Below are 22,020 nucleotides of genomic sequence, written 5' to 3'. Positions count from 1 at the left end.
GGGGTTTCACCATGTTGGCCAGGCTAGTCTCGAGCTCCTGATCTCAGGTGATCCGCCTGCCTCAGCCTCCGAAAGTGCTGCGATTACAGGCGTGAGCCACTGTGCCCAGCCAGCATGCCAAGCTTCTGAGTCTAGGCAGTAAACATCACTATGGAGCTCAGTGACAGATCCTGAGAGGAGGCAAAGTCTGGATCCCATGTTGTGCCAACAGCACTGTGTTTGCGACTAAATGTCAAACACAGCCTGAGATTTCCACACGGTGGTAGGCAGGGTAGACACAACTGGACATAATAGGTAGATGCACTGACATGCTGGTAAATGTTGAACAATGAGCATTCTGAGTGTAGTTGCAACATATATGTTGGTTGATATTTGTATTAGAGTCAGACAGAAGTGAAACTTGTTCATCAATGATGTGACTTGCTTGCAAGTTGAATACTGAAAGAATATGTCACCAATTTTAGGCTGTGTGCAGTGGCTCATGCCTGTAATCCCAGCGCTTTGTGAGTCCAAGGTGAGCGGATCACTTGAGGTCAGGAGTTGGAGACCAGCCTGGCCAACGTGGTGAAACCCCGTCTCTACCAAAATACAAAAATTAGCTGGGTGTGGTGGCAGGTGCCTGCAATCCCAGTTACTTGGGAGGTGGTGGCAGGAGAATCATTTAAACCCAGGAGGCGGAGATTGCAGTGAGCCGAGATGGCACCACTGCACTCCAGCTTGGGCACAGAGTGAGACTCCCTCTCAAAAATACCTATATCTATATCTACCTATATAGATAGATATAGATATATATCACCAATTTTTGTACCTATTCACAATACAACATCTATAGACATGACATACTTTTTAAACATTTTTAAAATGTATTTTATTTTATTTCAATAGTTTTTGGGAAACAGGTGGTTTTGGTTACATGAATACGTTCTTTGGTGGTGATTTCTGAGATTTTGGTGCACCCGTCACCCAAACGGTATACACTGTACCCAATGTGTAGTCTTTTATCTCTCACCCCACTCTCACCTTCCTCCTGAGTCCCCAAAGTCCATAATATATTTCTTTTGCCATGGCAGACATGACATATATTTAAAAGTAACCTGCATTATTACATTTTTCTCATGTACGTTTAGAATAAACAATCAATGAAATATATTAAGCCCTAATTAAGCCTTACACCAATATTCTTGGTGTAAATACTCTCACCATGGCTGCTTTCAAGATACTGAAGTAAATGTATTCTGTATTATTACATTTTATTCATCTATGTCTGGAATAAACAATCAACAAAAGAATATATTAAGCCCTAATTAAGCCTTACACAGATATTCCTGTTGTAAATACTCTCACTGTGGCTGATTTCAAGCTACCAAAGTGATGTCACTGAATGTGAAGTTGATAAGATGTGCAAGAGCACACTATCATATACTATAGCATTTCTACTATAGGGATAGAAAAAAATGTAAATAACTTCAAGAGCATAGATAATAAGTAAATGCAGTAAAATATTTAGGAAGTGAGTTTTTAATATTACCTTTGTTTTTAAAAAGTTATTCTAAGTTCACATAATATAATTTTAAATAATGACAACATTTAACAAACAGCTGGCAAAACTCCTAAAAATTCCTGAAAATTTAATAAATGGCTCTTGTGAGCCTAAACATGCCAGCTAGCACACACCACTGGTGGATGGCAAAGCTATATAAATGTGGGTTGTTATTAATAATGTGACTTAATATTTACTCCCTGGCTCAAGTTGCCCTGAAAGGCAAGCTTTTAAAAAAATATTTCAGGGCTTTAATTTTAGTCTATTTGCTTGGTCGCAATGGGGCTTTTCTTTGAATAGCTAAGCACCATATTTCCAAATCTCTTAGGGTGGCATATATGAACAGATAAAAATCTCAGCCATTATTTATTGATAGCTGCTAGCTTCCCTCTCAGAAAGTGACTTTTCACTGATCCTTCCCCAAATTCTAGGAGTTCGTTATTACATTTAGCTGTGTACTAACTATAATCACTACTATATAATAGGTATTAGGTTGAGCCAGATGAAATTGCTGTTGTCTGACCATTTTTGACCTACAAAACCAGTAATTTTATATGCTTCAATCAACACTTTTGCTCTAGTCAAGCTGGTAGTGATGTTCCCCTATCATTTGTGTGTCTGCATTCCTATGATTTTGCCCATCTAAAATAATTTTCCTCCTCCCTTCTACTACTCAAACCTAAGACTTAACTCCCACTTTCACCTCTCCCACAGATATCCATGATCGTTCCAATCTTCATTAAGCAACTGTAAGGATTCTCTCCCATGACCTTTTGTGATACTTTATGTGGATCACAGAATTGAACACTTAATTATAATGTCTCATATTATTTATATTGTGTCTTGCATAGTCTTAATAACTAGGAACTAAATTCTCTGAGAGGAAAGACTATAACAAACTTTTTCTGTAAGTAACAATGTATAATTGTGCTGAAAATGGGTATGAACTCGTATTTCAACTGATTGGGATTTAAATAATATCCTTTTCTGAAGTTGAACGTAATTAAAACTAGGTTATGTGCTACTTATGTGCTTGGGCTTTGGAGTCAGGCAAACCTGGAACTATTTCCTTGCTCTGCTATCTGTAAGCTATATGTTTTTAGGAAAGTCACTAAATAGCTTGAAGTCCCTTTTCCTCTTCTGTCAAACGGGGTAATGGTGTCTATACTACTGGGTGATTGTTAGGATTATATGATGAATCTGGATTATACAGACTTTTTTCTAGAAAATATAACCAAAGCAATATATTTTTCTCAATGATGTGAGTAAAATCAGGGAAGGAAAGATGATCATGGTGTTTGGTTTAAGAATAAAGAGAACACAACATTATATTTATTTTTATGATTGTATTTTTTGGTTTGACTCGGCTTCCAAATTTCCCAAATTAATACCTAAAAATGGTATGTGTGTATTGTGTGTGTGTATACCTATACTGTATTAGTCTGTTCTCAAGCTGTTAATAAAGACATACCCAAGACTGGGTAATTTATGAAGGAAAGAGGTCTAACTGACTCACAGTTCCACACGGCTGGGGAGGCCTCACAATCATGGCGGAAGGTGAATGAGGAGCAAGGTCACTTCTTACATGGCAGCAGGCAAGAAAGCTTGTGTGGAGGAATGCCCGTTTATAAAACCATCAGATCTCATGAGACTTATTCACTATCACAAGAACAGTATGGGGGAAGCCACCCCCATGATTCAATTATCTCCACCTGTCCCCACCTTTGGCACATGGGTATTATTACAATTCAAGGTGAGGTTTGGGTGGGGACACAGCCAAACCATATCATATACACATACATATATACACACACACTTATATATACATATATACACACACATACATATATATACACACATGCTCTTATTACCTAAAAAAAATTCTGATCAATTTATTATTCTTGAACCTAGAGTTTTTTGTACAGTGGTAAATGCTAGCATTTATTAGGAACTTAATATGTTCCAAGCACTTTTCTAAGTGTATTAGCTTATTTTATCCATATAATAGCAGTAAAGTATTTTCTGTTATCCCTACTTTACAGATGAAAAAATATATAAGCTATATTTTGAGATAGTGAGAAAAGTAACTAAAGGCATGAGCGAAATTTAATAGACTATGTCTGATAATTGTAACTAAATTTTAAGTCAGCGTTCTAAATTCTAAATATATTGCTGAAGGGCTCTTAAGGATTATTAACAATAAGAGTAAAATGAGTCCAATATGAACAAGGCATAATTTCTAAAAGAATATATATGGATGAAGAAAAATTAAGCTGAAATGCATGTTGTAATTGATCATTGCTTTTACAGATAATGGTATATAGTCATTCTTTTTTTTTTATTCCCATATTTATTGAACACAAATTGTATATGAGGCATATTTAAATATATTGGTTACTTCTCACTTGTGCTTTGAATGAAATTTAAATTATTGCATGAATTTTGATTAAACTGATTACAGAATTTTGAAACACAATGGAACCCAAACTAGGGCCAATGCTCATTTCCTAAATGAACATTTTATGTGCAAACAAACAGCTGCTAGAATCCAACAGAATTTAAAACAAGCTGTTTGTAAATTTTACTGACAGCTGTTTTTGGTGATTTTTGTCAACAGAATTTTCCTGCTTTGCATCACAGCATCCTTTTATTATAGTATCCCCTCAAAGTATAACTTGCTTGCTTTAATCACGTTTACAGAGATTTATGACTTGATGCTTATTCAGTGGTAGAGCTTCTCAACACAAAATGTCAGTGAGCCTGTTATAAATTGCTTCTGGCATTCCTACTCTATCTTTTATTTGGCTGGGAGTATTTCCACCTGAAAGTGATAAATTCCTGTTATAACCACTTTATGTGCTTCAGTAATTACACTGTACAGAAAAAGAGGATTTCTACTGAGGTGTCTCCTTAAAAATAGCAAGCAATAAAAGGCAGTGGAATGGGCTGAACTCTGAAGTCTATTGAACAAAAAACAATGACCAGTGAAATATGTGTGTCAGACTGAATTTGATAAATGATCAGGAAGTACAGAAGATACCAAAACCTTTAAAACAACTACTGTGGGGTCATAGTAATGTAACTATGTCCTTAGACTAGTTACTTTTAAGCCTGTGACAGAAATTTGGCAGGTGCCCACAAGAATGGAGTTAACATCCTTTCAAAAACAATCTTAAAATATCTAGATGCTTCTAGAGACTTGGGTAATTCTAAACTAAATGCCAAGGTGTACATGACATAGGGACTGAGTTGGTATGTACTAGTCAAAGAGACTGTGGCATGCTAAAACGGTTCAGTACAGTACACTGCAGCCAATAACTTGATCAATACATATACACACAATTGAACTGATTGAAATACACATTAATCATGATATTCATGGGTGGTTTGTTTGCTTCATATATGCTGTCTCTAGTACGTAGGACAAAATTACTGTTTTTAATTGCTTAGGCTTTTTTTTGTTCTTAAATGAGCAACAAAATGATGTAAATAAAAGATGTTTAAGTTAATGAAACAAAATTATAAACATTTTCATTGTCACGTCCTAATATTATGCCAACGATGGTGTTAGGAATCAGGTGGATACTTTATCTGAGATGATACTAAAAGAGACTATAATCAGTAAATAGGATTTAAGCTTCCTTTCCAGGTGATTGCATTATATTTGCATAGGAATTGCTACTGCAAGTATCTCTGTTCCAATAGCCACAGAATAAGTGGTTCTTTGCTTAGAATATGTACTCTTTCATAGGAGAAATCATAAGCCAGTGTAGCTGGCTTCATGCAACTCAACAATGCCAGTCCTAACAATGGAAAAATATGTTGTGCACTTATTGTGTTTTAAGCTTTAATATATATATTAAAGTTTAGGACAGTCCATTGCAAAGGGATGTCCATTGGTTGTGCTGCACTTCTGGTTTAGGACAGTTTCATAAACTGTAATTCCTTTCTCACCACAACCCTTTGAGTATGAGATTGACATATATTAACCCTAAATTTACAAAAGATGAAACTAAGTTCCAAGATGGGTTACACAATGGACAAAATTGTAGGAAATGTCAAGGCTAGGTTTATAATTCAGTTCTGCTTGACTCCAGATCACCGTGTACTTAATCATTACGCCACATTGAATTTCAGAAAAAAAAACAGCACAAAGCATATGACTTTACCTTAATAGCATCATATAAAGGCAAGCTCAGTCAAATGTGCACAGCACACACCACAGTCCTAGATGCTGGGATGGTCTGCTCTATTCCATCAATTACCATATTCAATTGCTCCTTATCAAATGTTTCAAACTACATTTTTTTGTGGGGGGACTACACTTCATAGAGGGGTGCTTGCAAACAAAATTTGTATCTGACAAAAAGAATGCTCTCAGGAAGTCGAAGTGGCCTTTTCCAGTGCATAATACCATAATTAAAAATCAGAGAAGAATTAATATAAAGGTAAGAATTTGTGAGATATCTTTACACTCCTTGGGAGTAGAGTCTGGGTATTATGGATATCCCATTTTGCTTGTTATATATGTTTATCCAAGTGAATATGAGGAAGATTTACCTCTTTGTAAAACACTTCATAACACAACAGAAGAGAAAACAGCATTTTGACTGTTTTCAACAAACCATTATATAAGCCTGAAGATCAGAAAAGAATTCAAGGCTGGAGATGCCTTCATAGCATGGTAACACTACAGAGGGTAACTGAAGCAGTCGGGGGGATGAGGGTTTAAGTGGGCCTGGAGAGAGGAGGATAGGTAAATAAGGCTGAAGCAAGCTTATCTGCATGCCTCAGAATCCACCCAGGACTACAGTGTTACAGTGGGGGAGGGATGGATGATTTTGAGTCTAGGATACTTGGGAATACTGCTTACTAGGAAGAGAACAGACTAGGAGTGAAATGGAGCAACAAGTCTAAACTTTTATGTACACAGGAGGTCCTTGCAGGGAAAACTCTGAAAAAGAAATGATACCATTTAGCCCTTTTTAAAGTGAGAAGAAGAGGACATTGTTCATGTCCTAAACCATGGCTTTACTGAGACCCTGCTGATGGCTGGAGTTCCCTGCAGAACTTTTTCTCTGGGACAAGAATTCCAGGATTTTACACATTGTTGGATGTACCCCATGGGAGAAGGAATGTGCCCTTGAAACTCAGGATCCAGGGTTAAGAGGAAGAGTTGGTTCAAAACAAACATCCCATCTCCACTAAAGGCAAAGCACCAGCAAGCTAAGCTGTAGAAAAGCAAGGCTGGAAGGAAGAAAATGGAATGGGAAGTTGCACATCGGAGAGTAACCCTGCTTATTCTCTTTATGAGTTTCATTATGGCCACTATTAAACAGCTGCCACGAATGTCATGACCCCTGGGGAGATGGAACAGGACAATGGCAGAAGAAAGGAAAAAAGCAAACAAACAGTAGAAAGAACTAATTGTATCTGCATCATAATTCATTTAATAGCATGGTATGAATACGCCAGTTATAAATGTTTGGTCCCAAATCATTTTACCAAAATGTGAAATTTTCATTTACTCTGATCACAGTTAAATTGTGCCCCAAGTATAGTGGCGCACGCCTGTAGCCCCAGCTACTCGGCAGGGTGAGGCACGAGAATCGCTTGAACCCCTTGAACGCAGGAGGCAGAGGCCACACTGAGCTGAGATTGTGCCACTGCACTCCAGCCTGGGTGACAGAGCAAGACTCTGTCTCCCCCGCCCCCCCGCAAAAAAAAAACTGTGCCCTTAATAAAAAAAAATTGATAAAAATGTTCAGTGTTATTCTTTAGTAAATAAAGCATTAACAGTACTGATTATATATAATCATCCTCAATCAGTTACCATTTACTGAGTACTTATGGTGTATGTGATTTTACATTTAATCTTATTTAATAGTCCTCCAAATCTACCCGATAAATATTATCCCCATTTTGCAGACAAGGAAACTAATGCTCAGAGAGCTTAAGGCTTGGTTTAAATCACACAATTATTTAGTGAAAGTGGGATTATAAGTAGGACAATCTATCTCCTGAAATCCTCAATTTACCCCATTAACACCATAGTATCTCTCCAGGTTTTAACGTTTTAAGTTTTCGTTCTTTTTCTTTTTCTTTCTTTTCCTTTTGTGTTTTTTTTTTTTTTTTTTTTTTTGAGACAGTCTCGCTCCGTTGCCCAGGCTGGAGGGCAGCGACACCATCTTGCCTCACTGCAACCTTCACCTCCTGGCTTCCAGCTATTTTTCTGCCTCAGCCTCCTGAGGAACTGGGATTACAGGTGCATGCCACCACACCTGGCTAATTTTTATATTTTTAGTAGAGACGGGGTTTCACCATGTTAGCCAGGCTGGCCTTGAACTCCTGACCTCAAGTGATCCACCTGCCTTGGCCTCCCAAAGTGCTGGGATTACAAGTGTGAGCCACCGTGCCTGACCCATTTTAAGTTTTCTAGAACTTGATTTCTCCCACGCTCAACAAAGAGTAAGCACTGGCTTAACAGGACTAATAAGGACTAACTTCTTAGGTGCCTCTGAGTTAAAAAAAAAAATTGGTTCGTTTGTGTGCTATCATAGTTTCAGTTAAAACATTTAATAAAGCCTTATTTAGTTGTGCTTATTCTAACTAACCAAGTGTGTGATTTTGGCCAAGTCATTTAAACTCCTTGAGTTTTCATTATTTAGTGGAGCTACAAGGCACAGTGGCTCACACCTGTAATCCCAGCATTTTGGGAGGCTGAGGCAGAAGAATTGCTTGAGGTCAGGAGTTCTAGAGCAGCCTGGCCAACATAGAGAGACCCTGTCTCTACAAATAATTAAAAAAAAAATTATCCAGGCATGGTGGGGTGCACCTGCACAGGTCCCAGCTACTCGGGAGGCTGAGGTGGGAGGGTCACTTGAGCCCAGGAGTTCAAAGCTGCAGTGAGCTGAGATCGTACCACTGTACTCCATCCTGGGCAACAGAGTGAGACCTTGTCCCAAAAAACCCCTCAAAAGACCAAAAATATAATTTACTGGGGCCATTAATAATCAAAAAGATCTGGGTTAATATTCTGCCACTGTTGTTATCTGTGCCTCCATCCTGGACAAGTATGCTTTTCTTTTTACAAATCTTACTTTTCTCTAAAGATGGGGGTCTTGCTATGTTGCCTAGGCTGGCCTTGAACCCCGGGGCTGAAGTGATTCTCCTGCCTCAGCCTCCCAAGTAGCTAGGACTACAGGCATGTGCTGAGCCCCTTGGGCAAGTAAATTAAGATCTCTGAGCCACACCTGCCTCCTCTTATTAAAGAGCACTGTCTTAGCTGTTATAACAAAATACTATAATCTAGATGGCTTAAGCAACAGAAATTTGTCATATTTCTGGAGTCTAGAAGTCTGAGATTAGCGTGCCAGTATGACTGGGTTTTGGGGAGGGCCCTCTTCTTTTGCGTTCTTGCTGTGTCCTCATGTGGTGGAGAGAGAGAGAACTCTCTCTTCTTACAAGGTCATTAACCCCATCATGGGGGCTCTGCCCTCATAACCCCATCTAAATCTAACTACCACCCAAAGGTCCCCTCCAAATACTATCACGTTGGGGTTACAACTTTTAATATATGAATTTGGGGGTGACACTACAGATACTAATGCCCATTTCATAGGGTCCCTATAAGGCTTAAGGCAGGTATTAACATAGGAAAGCACTTAAAGCTGGGTCTGGCTTGGGTAGGTAGTTCAATGATTCAACAAACACTGAGCACCTACCTGGAGCCAAGCACTGCATGTGCCACATGAAGCGATATTGGGAAATGAGTCACATGCAGCCAATCTCTGGCCTTTTGGAGGTTTTGAACTAGAAGGGGACACGCACATAATCGTATGTGTGTGTATCTACATACACAGGTGATATGATGCACCTGAGAGAATCCAGTCTAGGAACTAGGAAAACCTTTAAGGAGTGATACTTCAGCTGTATTCTGAAGGATGAGGAATGGAGAGGAGGCCAATTCCAGGTTCCAAAGTGAATCTTTGCGCAAAAGCCATGAGGCAGCAAGGTGCAGGGGCTTTTAATGACCTAAGGGAACGCACTGTGGGGTTGGGACCATGATGGCCAGAGGAGGTTTTGACAAGAGGCTAGTCAAAGAGCAGAGAAAAACTTTAAGGAGTTTTAAGAAAGGGAAGTGCCACGATGAGTTTTGTGTTTGGAAATGTTTTAGGCGGCCACACCGCAGTCTCGGGACTGGCTGGGACCTGGATAGACACTTGGATATCAGCTAGAAAGCTACGACAGGAAACCAGGCGAGGACGAGGCAACTGGGGATGTTGTGGAGCAGAGACGGAGAGAAAATGGGTGCATTCGAGACAAGTTAGGGGGAAAAAATGCAAGGACTTGGAAATGAACTTGGGGCGCGGCAGGAAGGCATGACGGGTTGCTCTGTAGGTCTTATCTGTAAATTACGGCGATCAGTGAAAGATCTGGAGGAGGAAGGTGGACACACTCTCTAACAAAAAAAACCCTTTTTGAAATTTTATACCAATATTTTAAAAGTAAACCAGATCTTTTCAGACATGCCTTTGAGCTGATATTTGTTAACTAGTTAGAATTAGAAACTTTCCTTATTTTTACTCAGTTACAATATACGCCACAGCTGAGGTGAGAGGAAAGAAAAGGTTGCTTTCTTAGGAACAAAGAGTGGTACCTTCAGTATCGTGGGCAAAGCTTTTCCAAGTCCAACAGCAGTCAAAACAGCGCTTTTTATAAATAACACTCAGCTAAAAGTTTCTGGGTTTGTGATTGTTCCAACGGTTAAGCTCGGATGAGGGTCCCTGGAGTCGTAGCTCCCGGGAAACGTCGACTGGCTTTCCACCTGGACTTCATCCGTCCAGGCAGCCCAGAGGGGCTTCAGGCCCCGCCCGCTCTCCTGCCAACTACAGCCTCGCGACTGCGCTCAGCCTTCAGGCCCCGCCCCTTCGGTCAAGCGGCGTGCTCTCACTGCACGGCGCCTGGGCCCCGCGCGCCGGGACCTCGGTTTCAGCCGTCCTGTCCTGCCCCGAGGCCCCTAGGCCCCGCCCCTGGGCCCCGCGCGCCAGGACTTCGGTTTCGACCGTCCTGTCCCGCCCCGAGGCTCCTAGGCCCCGCCCCCTCTGTCCCCGGCGTGTTCTCGCGGCTCCGCCCCTAGGACCCGCGCGCCGGGACTTTGGCAAGTTTCAGCCGTCCGGCCCCGCCCCCTCGGTCCCACGGCTCTCGCGGCCCCTCCCCTAAGTCCCACACGCCGGGACTTTGGCAAGTTTCAGCCTCCAGCCCCACCCCTAGGTCCCGCCCACTCGGCCAGCGGCTGGCTCTCGCGGCCCCGCCCCTGTGCCCTGCGAGTCCCTATTTTGGGAGCATTGCGGCCGCCGTGCCCCGCCCCTCCCCGCGCGCCCCGCCCCTCTGGCGGCCCGCCGTCCCAGACGCGGGAAGAGCTTGGCCGGTTTCGAGTCGCTGGCCTGCAGCTTCCCTGTGGTTTCCCGAGGCTTCCTTGCTTCCCGCTCTGCGAGGAGCCTTTCATCCGAAGGCGGGACGATGCCGGATAATCGGCAGCCGAGGAACCGGCAGCCGAGGATCCGCTCCGGGAACGAGCCTCGTTCCGCGCCCGCCATGGAACCGGATGGTCGCGGTGCCTGGGCCCACAGTCGCGCCGCGCTCGACCGCCTGGAGAAGCTGCTGCGCTGCTCGCGTTGGTAAAGACGGAGCTTCTTGGGGGTGGCTGCGAGGGCACGGGTCGCACAGTTTCTGGGGGCGGCAGAATCTTTTCAAATCTTCCGTTTCCTCCTTCCGTTCCCGCGCTGCAGTCGGGTCGGCGTGCGGTTAGCACCTGCCGGGGGATATAGTATTAACAACTTCTGCTTCTCATTCACTTTATTTTTGGGCGACTTACCGGCCTCCCCTTGCCCTGAATCCAACTGAAACGGTAGTTTTTGAACTTCAGCGGGCTGAAGAACCGTCTGGAGGTGTGGCTAAAAAAATGTTCATCCCGGTCGCGCCTCCAGAGTTTGAATCGGGCTGGGGTGGGGCTGAGGCTTCTGCATTTTTTACCCGGCCCTGGATTACCCCGCTGCTTTCCGGGAGCTGTGGCGAATTGGGCTGGCGGGCCGCCCCGGAGACCCTCTAAATTAGAAGCAGCTGCCACTCTAAGTTAAACTGGCCTTTTTGACATTTTCTCCGTGCCAGCTTTTTCGAGTGAGATGGGATGGAGCATCGGATATCTACCATAGTTGTAGATTGAAGATGGCACGGAATTTCTCATTTTCTTAGTTTGCTCAAAAGACTGTATGTCTGGTGTCCCCGCTCTTAGTGATGCTGTTTATTGTTTTCCTTCATGCTGTCACATTATGGGAGTCCTCTCAGGGTTTTCATTCCGTCCAAAGACATTTTCATGAGTGTTACTTCTTGCTTTTTTTCGTGTAGCTCTTTCTAGTATACAAACCAAGAAGGTTTGTAAAACCCAAGAAAGGTTTGTCTCATTTTCATTTCTTCTGAAAAGCATTTTTATTGAGCACTTGCTGTGTGTACAGCTAAGTATTTCTGTATGAAGATCACTGGCAGTTTTTTTGTTATTTGTAGCTGTCAAAAGTTTATATCCTTTTTGGACTTTTTTCCCCTTTGATTTCTAACTTGCAGAACTTAAGTTACCTAGTTGCATAAAGTATAAGTAACACAACTTTTTCTTTTCTTTCCTTTTTTGAGACGGAGTCTCGCTCTGTCGCCCAGGCTGGAGTGCAGTGGCACGATCTTGTCTCACTGCAAGCTCCGCCTCCCGGGTTCACGCCATTCTCCTGCTTCAGCCTCCCAAGTAGCTGGGACTGCAGGCGCCCGCCATCATGCCCGGCTAATTTTTTGTATTTTTAGTACAGATGGGGTTTCACCGTGTTAGCCAGGATGGTCTCCGTCTCCTGACCTCGTGATCCGCCCGCCTCTGCCTCCCAAAGTGCTGGGATTACAGGCGTGAGCCACGGTGCCCGGCCAAACTTTTTCTTTAAAAATGAAAAGGACTTAACTGTCAGAGTTTTGCACTTATATTTTCTTTGACGAAAACTTTTAATATCTGTGACAAAATGACATTGCACTTCTTAGAAAAGTGACACTCAGATAAGTGAGTACATGAAGACATTTGAGTTGTGTGTTTGTTTTCCTGTAGCACATGGGTCATCTGAGAATAGGAAATTTAAAACTGGCACTGCTAGTTGCAATAACAGAAGCATTATAGTTCACACCTTGATAGTCCAACGAAAGTTAGACATTCCCTTGGCACATACCTATGTGGAAGCATCGGGCTTCACTTAGACTGTGGTCAGAATGCCTGAGTTCAGGTTCTAGCTTTGACACTATTGAGTAGGCCAAGTTATTCATCTCTCATTTTCCGGATATGAGTAATACTAATGATTAGCTTATTTTCTTGTGAGGATTCATTAATAATCATAAATTTATTGAGCACCCATAAAGTGCCAGACCCTATTCTGGGTATTGGGGATTTGTTAGTGAACAAAGCAGACAATAAATTCCATCTCTTAGGGAGCTTTTATGGAAGAAACAAAATGAAATTTTACATGTATGTAAAGTATTGAGTTTGGTGGTTGTGATAGAATAAATGATAAATAATGTGTGTCTTAATCTAAAAGAATGTGGTGTTTGCTTGCTACATGATTTGGGAGAGACAAAATAGATAATATATATGAATATATGTTGTCCTGAAAAATAACAAAGCCGGTTTCACTTTTTATCCCCTACCAAATATTTTTCCAGTTTCTAACTGAAGTGAGTAGACAGTAAGAGGCAACGGAGTGTAAACAGACATCAGTAACCAGGCCCAGACTTTTAGCATGGCTCACCCATTTGACTACAGAATGCTATTGAATGCTATTGATTTTTTTTTTTTTAATCCGAACCTCTATAGATGAACTGAATCTTAACTCTTAGACTGCATGTTTTCATGTAGGGGTCTGCAAATTTTTTCGGTAAAGGGCCAGGTAATTAATATTTTAGGCCTTTCTGCCCGCAAATAGTTTTTGTTCTTATTTATTTTTACATCTCTTAAAAATGTAAAAACCATTCTTTCCTTAAGGGCTGTACAGAAACAGACTGCTGGCTTGGTTTGGCCCACAGGCAATAGTTGCTAAACTGTCGATAAAGTCTTGATAAACTTAATGTCTCAAGTTTAAAAATCCTTTTTGGTATACAATTTTATATCACATGGGGTGCCTTTTTTTTTTTTTTTTCCCTAGGCAAAGTTTCACTCTGTCACCCAAGCTGGAGTGCAGTGGCATGATTTCAGCTCACTGCAACCTCCTTCCCCCGGGTTCAAGCAATTCTCTTGCCTCAGCCTCCTGAGTAGCTGGAACTACAGGTGCATGCCACCATGCCCGGCTAATTTTTGTATTTTTACTAGAGACGGGGTTTCATCATGTTGGCCAGGCTGGTCTCCAACTCCTGACCTCAAGTGATCCGCCCACTTCAGCCTCCCAAAGTGCTGGGATTACAGGCGTGAGCCACCATGCCTGGTCTTTACATGGGCTTTAATGTTTAGAAATGATTTTGCTTTCCTCTGTAGGTGTCTCTGCAACTTTGGCACTATCTATAGTGAAAAAAGCATGGCCAGCTGCACCTTACTCAAGGAGGAAAAGCATTGTTCCTACCTCTGCCTTTGCCCTGGTAGCCTCCTGACATTGCCGGCAAGGAGCAACTCAGAATGGTCTGCTTCTTCCATTTGCTACCCTCCATTCAAAGCAGTGTCATATTATTTGAAATTGTGTCAGTATGTCCTTTTACAGAGTTTCAGAGTTCTACCCAGTGGGCTAGTGATTACCCCGATTACCCTCACATTCAGCTTGCAGCTGACATCTGCCTTGTGTTGCACATGGATCTGTTTTGCAGCAAGCATTACTTGCTGGTGAGGGTGGATTGGTACATAACCGGGCATCCTTTCTTGACCTTTAACATGAATCTGGCTTCAAGGTGAAGCCGATGAAAGTGTTCAAGAGGCCAGATGTGACATTTATATTAGGACCAAGCCTCACAACCAGAAAGAAGCTATTTAAGGATTTGGAAAAATGAGACAGGAAGACCATATTATTTGAGAGGCTGGCAGAAAGCACAGTAATAATGTGTTCCTAAAGGAAGCAGGAAATGGTAATAGGAGCTGCAGTGTAGAAGCCCCAGGTGTCATATAACACTGTTTTGTGAATTAATAGGTACCTCTTGGCATATTTTTGAGGGTGAGAGTGGGATTAGACATCTATGACAATTGTAACGTGGGCCTTTTTAATCAACTTTTTATGAAAAGTTAGAAAGTAATCTTTTAACCTTTATGATAGGTATTTTTTTTTTTCTGAGTTCTTGTTTAGGAGATGATCAAGCTTAATTTTGTATTCTCTCATACTTTGAGGCAGCATAGTGTAGATGTTAAATGTGTGGAATCTGGAGTTAGATTCCCTGGGTTCAAATCCTGGCTCCATTATTTAGGTTATTTTATCTTTTTATGCTTCCTTTTCTTCATCTGCACAAAATGAGTGGATATTCATAAGATGCCTTGAGCTGTGTCTGTTATGTACTAAATACTATATGAATATTTGTGAAATAAAGGATAGGTTCTCTGACTCCGGGTTCAGCTTTTGCCTTTCTTCATGAGTTTTGAATGTTCAGAGGCATTCTCACAGAGCAGTGATCCCCAAATGGAATGATTTCTCCCTGGCACTGGTTATTCATTAGAATAACGAGAAATCACTGAGACACTGTGTAAGGGGTGATAAGGTGATGCATTTTCTACTTCTGCCTTTAAGGAGTGTATGCTTAATTATAAGGGATAAAATAAATACAAGTTCAGGGTAAATTGTCGTGCAGGTCGACATAGTGCTGAGAAGAGTACTTGGGTAGGGCCAGTGGAAGGAAGCTTCATGGGCTTTTAAATTGAAATATGAATAGATTTTCTTTTTTCTGAGACGGAGTCTCCCTCTGTCACCCAGGCTGGAGTGCGGTGGTGTGATCTCGGCTCACTGCAACCTCCGCCTGCCAGGTTCAAGTGATTCTCCTGCCTCAGCCTCCTGAGTAGCTGGGATTACAGGTGAGCGCCACCAAACCCGGCTAATTTTTGTATTTTTAGTAGACACGGGGTTTCACCATGTTGCTCAGGCTGGTCTCGAACTCCTGACCTTGTGATCCGCACTTCTTGGCCTCCTAAAGTGCTAGGATTACAGGCGTGAGCCACCACACCAGGCCGAGATGCGAATAGATTTTTAAAATGGAGCCAGGTTGCAGGGAGCTGGGGTGATGGGTGTTATTTGCAAATAACTAGCTATAAAGAATTGTAGGGTAAAGGGGGACTGGGTCAGGTGAACAGAGAGTTAAGACAGGGTCAAATCAGTGATAGTAGCCTAACAACAGAATACTCAGTTGGTTTATATAGTTAACTTCCTAAAGAGAGCAATTTGTATAGCTTTCCTGGACTCTGGTTCCTCATCTATAAAATGAGGAAAATGGACTCGTTGATTTGTAAAGTTCTCTCCAGTTTGCAGATTTCATAGTTATTTGTGTCCACTGGATGAAGTTTAACATACATACAGAAAAGGCACAAATCATTGGTGTTCAGCTTGTATCGTATCTTCCAAGTTAGAATTTATTTGTGAGATTTATTTATTTATGGAATATTTTGAGTGATGTCTGTCTCCTTCAGTTATATATTTAGTAAAACTAGGTTCACGTTTGTAGCCACAATGCCAGACACATAGTTTCTTAGTGTATGTTAAATTGATGTATGAAAGAACTTAGGTTAAGGTAGGATCACATTTGAAGGGCCTTTGCAAGTGGTAATACCAGAAGATCTAGTTAATTTACATGAATTGCTAAGAATCCCCTATAGGTTCCATGTCATTATCCATATACTTTACTTGTTAAACACTTTATTCTTCTAAAGATAAACACAAGAAAAATTGTTTAATTGGCTTGGTGAGCCTGCACATTTAGATGTTCAACATGTTGGTCCACACGTTAAAATTACCTTGAGGATTCTTTAAAATGTAAGAGCACTTTGGGAGCTGTCTTGCCTAATATTAAATAGCAGTTGATATTTCATGGAGATACAGGGGAGCCATTCTATTAAGAAATAGATCTGCCTTGGTATTATCATCTCAGATGGATTTACCTTCCTTTTTTTCTTTTCGAAGAAAATTTTGTATCAGTAAGAACTTTAAAAAAAATTGTTCTCACTACTTAATTCTTCCCTAAGTTATCCTCTGACAGCACTGATCTGAAGGGGTGGGTTGCCCCTCCACACCTGTGGGTGTTTCTCGTAAGGTGGAACGAGAGACTTGGAAAAGAAAAAGACACAGATACAAAGTATAGAGAAAGAAATAAGGGGACCCAGGGAACCAGCGTTCAGCATATGGAGGATCCCGCCAGCCTCTGAGTTCCCTTAGTATTTATTGATCATTCATGGGTGTTTCTCCGAGAGGGGGATGTGTCAGGGTCACAAGACAATAGTGGGGAGAGGGTCAGCAGACAAACACGTGAACAAAGGTCTTTGCAACATAGACAAGGTAAAGGATTAAGTACTGTGCTTTTAGATATGCATACACAGAAACATCTCAATGCTTTACAAAGCAGTATTGCTGCCCGCACGTCCCACCTCCAGCCCTAAGGCGGTTTTTCCCTATCTCAGTAGATGGAACCTACAATCGGGTTTTATACTGAGACATTCCATTGCCCAGGGACGGGCAGGAGACAGATGCCTTCCTCTTGTCTCAACTGCAAGAGGCTTGCCTTCCTCTTATACTAATCCTCCTCAGCACAGACCCTTTACGGGTGTCGGGCTGGGGGACGGTCAGGTCTTTCCCTTCCCACAAGGCCATATTTCAGACTATCACATGGGGAGAAACCTTGGACAATACCTGGCTTTCCTAGGCAGGGGTCCTTCCGCAGTGTTTGTGTCCCTGGGTACTTGAGATTAGGGAGTGGTGATGACTCTTAAGGAGCAAGCTGCCTTCAAGCATCTGTTTAACAAAGCACATCTTGCACAACCCTTAATCCATTTAACCCTGAGTTTGACACAGCACATGTTTCAGAGAGCACCGGGTTGGGGGTAGGGTCATAGATTAACAGAATCTCAAGGCAGAAGAATTTTTCTTAGTACAGAATAAAATGGAGTCTCCTATGTCTACTTCTTTCTATACAGACACAGTAACAATCTGATCTCTCTTGCTTTTCCCCACACTGATCTTTCTAAATCAACTACATGTAAAGTTACAGAAGTATGACTGTAGATGGGGAAAAAGTAGAGTAGCTGAATTTTCAAGGTACAGAAATCCTGTTACCATGCAAATGTCTTCTCTTATTTGTTTGGATTTTTTCTATCTAATATATATGTATATCAAACAGAAAATAGGGTAAGGATAAAATGGAATTGTTAATACAAATGCATTTTTGTATATAGGCTTCCATTTGGTTCATTCACTAAGAACTTATTGAAATCCTGCAGTTAATCTAGCACCATGCTAGGTAGGTAATGGTGGGTTGGGGAGCTCAGAAAAAATGAAAGTTAAGATCTCTTGTCTTAGGGCTGGAGTCTAATTTCAAGACAAGAGAAATAGAAAATCAGGAAGTTAAAATACAGATGCTCCTGAACTTGAGATGGGGTTATGTCTGGATCAACCCATAGTAAGTTTAAAATATTGTATGTCAAAAATATATTTAATATACATACCCTACCAAACATCATAGCATAGCCCAGCCTACCTTAAACATGCCCAGAACACTAACATTAGCCCAGTTGGGTTAAATCATCTAACACAAAGCCTATTTTATAATAAAGTGTTTAATAGCTCATGTAATTTATTGAATACCATACTAAAAGTGAAAAACAGAATGACTTCCTGCTGTGGCCCAGCATTGTACTGCATATTGCTAGCCTGGGAAAAGATCAAAATTCAAAGTGTGATTTCTATTGAATGTGTATTACATTTGCAGGATAATAAAGCTAAAAAATTGTGAGTCGAACCATTGTGAGTCAGGGATCATCTGTACAAAATATTTAGTTTTCAAGCCTGGGCAACATGGCAAAACCCCACCTCTACAAAAAATTAGCCAGGTATGGTGGTGTGCACCTGTAGTCTCAGCTATGTGGGAGGCTGAGATGGGAGGATTTCTTCAGCTCAGGAGTTCAAAGCTCAGTGAGCTGTGATCATGCCACTGTACTCCAGCCTGGGCGACAGAGCAAGATCTTGTTTTAAAAAAAACAAAAACAACCCCCCCCCCCGCCAAATATTTGGTTTTCAACATTGAATCCCAGAACCCCAACTAGATGCTCTCTTCTTTGTAACTTTAGAGCATTTTGTACATCTTTTAAGTCATATTAATTTGGTTTATGTAATTAATTGGCCAGATTATAAGACCCTTAGAAAAGAGTGGAACACAGTCAACTTTGTTCTTTAGATGTTACATGGCATGAATTTTGCAGAAGTGATGGCTGGAGGCTGAAATCCAAGAGATGGACATAGGCTAATAATAGTTGTAAGAGACACTGGCCTGACCACAGCAGAGTTTTTGTTGAGGAGCAATGAGAGAAAAGGTTGCATGGCTTAGGTGTTACAGATTGTGAAGAACTTTTTAATAGTAAATTTTTTTTTAATGGTAAACAGTGTGTGAAAAGAATTAAAATAACACAGTATATGGCCATTCAGTATTTGTTAAATGAACGACAGATAAGTGTGAATCTTCTTCAGTAACTTATAATTATCAGTTTCTTGTGTATCCTTCAAGAGGTTCTATGTTCATATAAGCATTGTACTGCCTCAGATAAGCAGATACTAAACACCATGTAGTTGTTGCATGATTCATTTAACCATTTCCTTATTGGAAACATTTAGGTTGTTTGTGGTCTTTTGCTGTAACAAGCAGTGCTGGAGTGATACTGATGTCATGTGCCTTTACATTTAAAATGTTTTTAAATAAAGTTATACATGAACGTAGTTGACAGAGTCAATAGGACAGACTATTAATGAAAACATTCTTTGCTTCATCCTTCATCACCCCTGAGTTCTATGCATCAGAAACATCTTTTGTCTTTTTTTTAGTTTTACAAGCATGTACCTCTACATTTCCAAATATGTTTATATTGCTATTTATTTTTTTTTCCATTTTAGATGTTATTAACTTCCTAACTATTCTCAAAGATGAATTTTCTTACTACTGTTAACTTTGACAGTGGAAGTTAGTGGATGTAGAATTCAAAGTACAAAATAATTGTCAAGAATTATTTTGAAGGCCTCGTTCCACAGTTCTGTAGCATCTCTTATTACCCTTGAGAAGTCTTATGCTATCCTGATTCCTTTTTTTAAAAAAAGTATGACATTTAATTTTATTATTTCTTAAATCTCTGGAAGGTTTTAGAATCTTGTCTAGATATCTTTGATGTTTGAAAGTTTCATTTTTGCAAGTATCTAGTGTTGCTGAAGGACAAATTCCTGGCAGTGGAATAGCTGAGTTAAAGTTGGATGCATTTATATTCTTGATAGGTATCTCCTAGTTGTAATAATTTTTTAAAAAAGTTTTTCTAAAGATACATGTTCTTGTTGTGTTGTCCAGGCTGGAGCGCAGTGGCTATTCACAGGCACGATCATGGCACACTATAGCCCTGAACTCTTGGGCTCAAGCTTTCCTCCTGCCTCAGCCTCCTGAGTAGCTGGGATTGCAGGCATGTGCCACTGAATTTGGCACTCCCTTCTCTCTCAGCTTGGCTCACACACTTCCTTCTTGTTCCCTCCCCCAATACACACAAGTGCACATACTTCTCATTCACATTTCCATTATCTTTCCTTATCCGTTAACAGCAACACAAATATATATTCTAACTCACTAATTAGAATAATTAGTACAACTGATCAATTATTCCCACATGTTAAATCATTACTAATATGTGATAGCACCTTATTGCTAGAGTGAAGGTTAAGAACTATAGCTAAAGAGTTCAGTCATCTTAGGAAGGAAATTTAAAGTTGAGAAACAGAATCAAGGCGTTGAGTCAAGTATTGCCAGAGAAAGCCGGAAGGCTACGGACTGCATCCTGGGGGTATGCCTACATGGAGAGGTAGGAAAAGCAGCTAAGGAAATGCTGAAATAGGCAGATCAATGTGTATAAAAATATTAAAATGCGGTGGAAGGAAAGGTTTCAGGAAAGAAGATGAGGTCAGTGCTGTTTCCCAGAGTGGTCAGAGAGAAGGGGACCAAAAATGCTTTGGAGAACAGTTTCAGCAGAGTGGAGGGAGTTAAAGCTAGGAAGGTGAGGAGATGGGAGTAGCTGGTATGGAGCACTCATTTAAGAACTTTTATCTGTTCAAGAAAGGGAAGAGATGGAGCAGAAGGTAGAATGGGAGGTATGATCAAAACTGTGTTTTTTCTGTGTCAAAGGAGAGATTACCTGTTCATGTGTAGATGCAAATGAGAGAAGAAAGGCAAGTATTATGAATATCTAGTGCTTTGGGAGGCAGAAAAGATATGGGAACTATAGGTAGAGTAGCACATTTTAGGAAGAGTGACTAAAGGAGATCGAATTTTCCTCTTAGACTCTAGGAAGGGTAAGATGACTGGTGAAGAGATAAAAATGTATTTAGGTGTTAAAAAACTTACACCATTAAGTTCCAGTAAAGTTAATGAGATGAGGAAGCATAGAGATTGTTTTGAATAGCCATCTATTCATTTGTTTGTTTATTTATAGAATATTGAATACATTACTTTGGTAGAGATACAAACATGAAGAGGCTACCAAATAAATTTTATGTCTTTATTTTATTTTATTTTAATATTTTTGAGACAGAGTCTGGCTCTGTCACTCAGGCTGGAGTGCAGGGGTGTAATCTCGGCTCACCTCAACCTGTGCCTCCTGGGTTCAAGTGATTCTTGTGCCTCAGCCTCCCCAGTTCCTGGGATTACAGGCGTGCACTACCATGCCTGGCTAATTTTTATATTTTTAAAATTTTATTTATTTATTTTTGATACAGGGTCTCGCTCTGTCACCCAGTCTGGAGTGCAGTGGCTCAATCTTGGCTCAGTGCAACCTCCACCTTCCAGGTTCAAGTGATTCTTGTGCCTCAGCCTCCCAAGTTGTTGGCATTACAGACATGCACCACCACACCTGGCTAATTTTTGTATTTTTAGTAGAGACAGGGTTTCACCATGTTGCCCAGGCCAGTCAAGCTCCTGGCCTCAAGTGATCCTCTCACCTCGGCCTCCCAAAGTGCTAGGATTACAGGCATGAGCCTCAGTACCCGGTTGCTACCAAATGAATTTATAGAGAGAAGTTTATTCATCTTTCTTTCCTTTTTTTTTTTTTTTTTTCTTTTTTTAATAGTGGTTATTCGCAGCCTGAGTGGGCAGGGAAGAAGTAGACTCTGGGGCCTATCTAGCATTATAGATTGGCATCCATGAGTGTCTAAGAGGTCAGCACAATTAGGTAGTGGTGAAGGTGGCTTGGAAATAGTTAACTCTGGCCTGGGCTG

General features: G+C 41.0%; 1 protein-coding gene and 1 long non-coding RNA gene across 12 annotated transcripts in view, besides 4 other annotated features; one reads left to right on the top strand and one right to left on the bottom strand.

Moving 5' to 3' along the window:
- SNHG31 (small nucleolar RNA host gene 31) overlaps window positions 1-10,403 on the bottom strand; it is a 153,377-nt gene extending 142,974 nt beyond the window's left edge. The window contains exon 1 of the long non-coding RNA NR_110292.1: window positions 10,200-10,403. This is a non-coding gene — a long non-coding RNA (small nucleolar RNA host gene 31). The remainder of the gene's footprint in view (window positions 1-10,199) is intronic.
- Window positions 10,471-11,040: a silencer, noted in NCBI's record as "silent region_12296". NCBI's record gives its function as "represses an Ori minimal core promoter by ATAC-STARR-seq in GM12878 lymphoblastoid cells {active_cell/tissue: GM12878}" and the evidence as "EXISTENCE:reporter gene assay evidence [ECO:0000049][PMID:35858748]".
- Window positions 10,949-22,020, top strand: part of BARD1 (BRCA1 associated RING domain 1) — an 84,038-nt gene continuing 72,966 nt past the window's right edge. For all 11 annotated transcript variants that reach the window (NR_104215.2, NR_104212.2, NR_104216.2 and 8 more), the window contains exon 1: window positions 10,949-11,220. Coding sequence is in view for 8 of the 11 variants with exons in the window: in NM_001282548.2 (NP_001269477.1) it covers window positions 11,063-11,220 (158 nt within the window). In the remaining 3 variants the exon portion in view is untranslated. The remainder of the gene's footprint in view (window positions 11,221-22,020) is intronic.
- Window positions 11,591-11,670: an enhancer, noted in NCBI's record as "active region_17073". NCBI's record gives its function as "activates an Ori minimal core promoter by ATAC-STARR-seq in GM12878 lymphoblastoid cells {active_cell/tissue: GM12878}" and the evidence as "EXISTENCE:reporter gene assay evidence [ECO:0000049][PMID:35858748]".
- Window positions 11,961-12,010: an enhancer, noted in NCBI's record as "active region_17072". NCBI's record gives its function as "activates an Ori minimal core promoter by ATAC-STARR-seq in GM12878 lymphoblastoid cells {active_cell/tissue: GM12878}" and the evidence as "EXISTENCE:reporter gene assay evidence [ECO:0000049][PMID:35858748]".
- Window positions 17,234-17,777: an enhancer, noted in NCBI's record as "OCT4-NANOG-H3K27ac hESC enhancer chr2:215667579-215668122 (GRCh37/hg19 assembly coordinates)". NCBI's record gives its function as "activates a minimal SCP1, AML or CMV promoter by ChIP-STARR-seq in naive H9 embryonic stem cells {active_cell/tissue: H9 hESC(naive)}" and the evidence as "EXISTENCE:reporter gene assay evidence [ECO:0000049][PMID:30033119]".

The sequence above is a fragment of the Homo sapiens genome, chromosome 2 (assembly GCF_000001405.40).
Source record: "Homo sapiens chromosome 2, GRCh38.p14 Primary Assembly".
Classification (NCBI taxonomy): Eukaryota; Metazoa; Chordata; class Mammalia; order Primates; family Hominidae; genus Homo; species Homo sapiens.
Note: the sequence above shows the minus strand (reverse complement) of the source record. Positions and strands in the feature narration are given on the sequence as shown.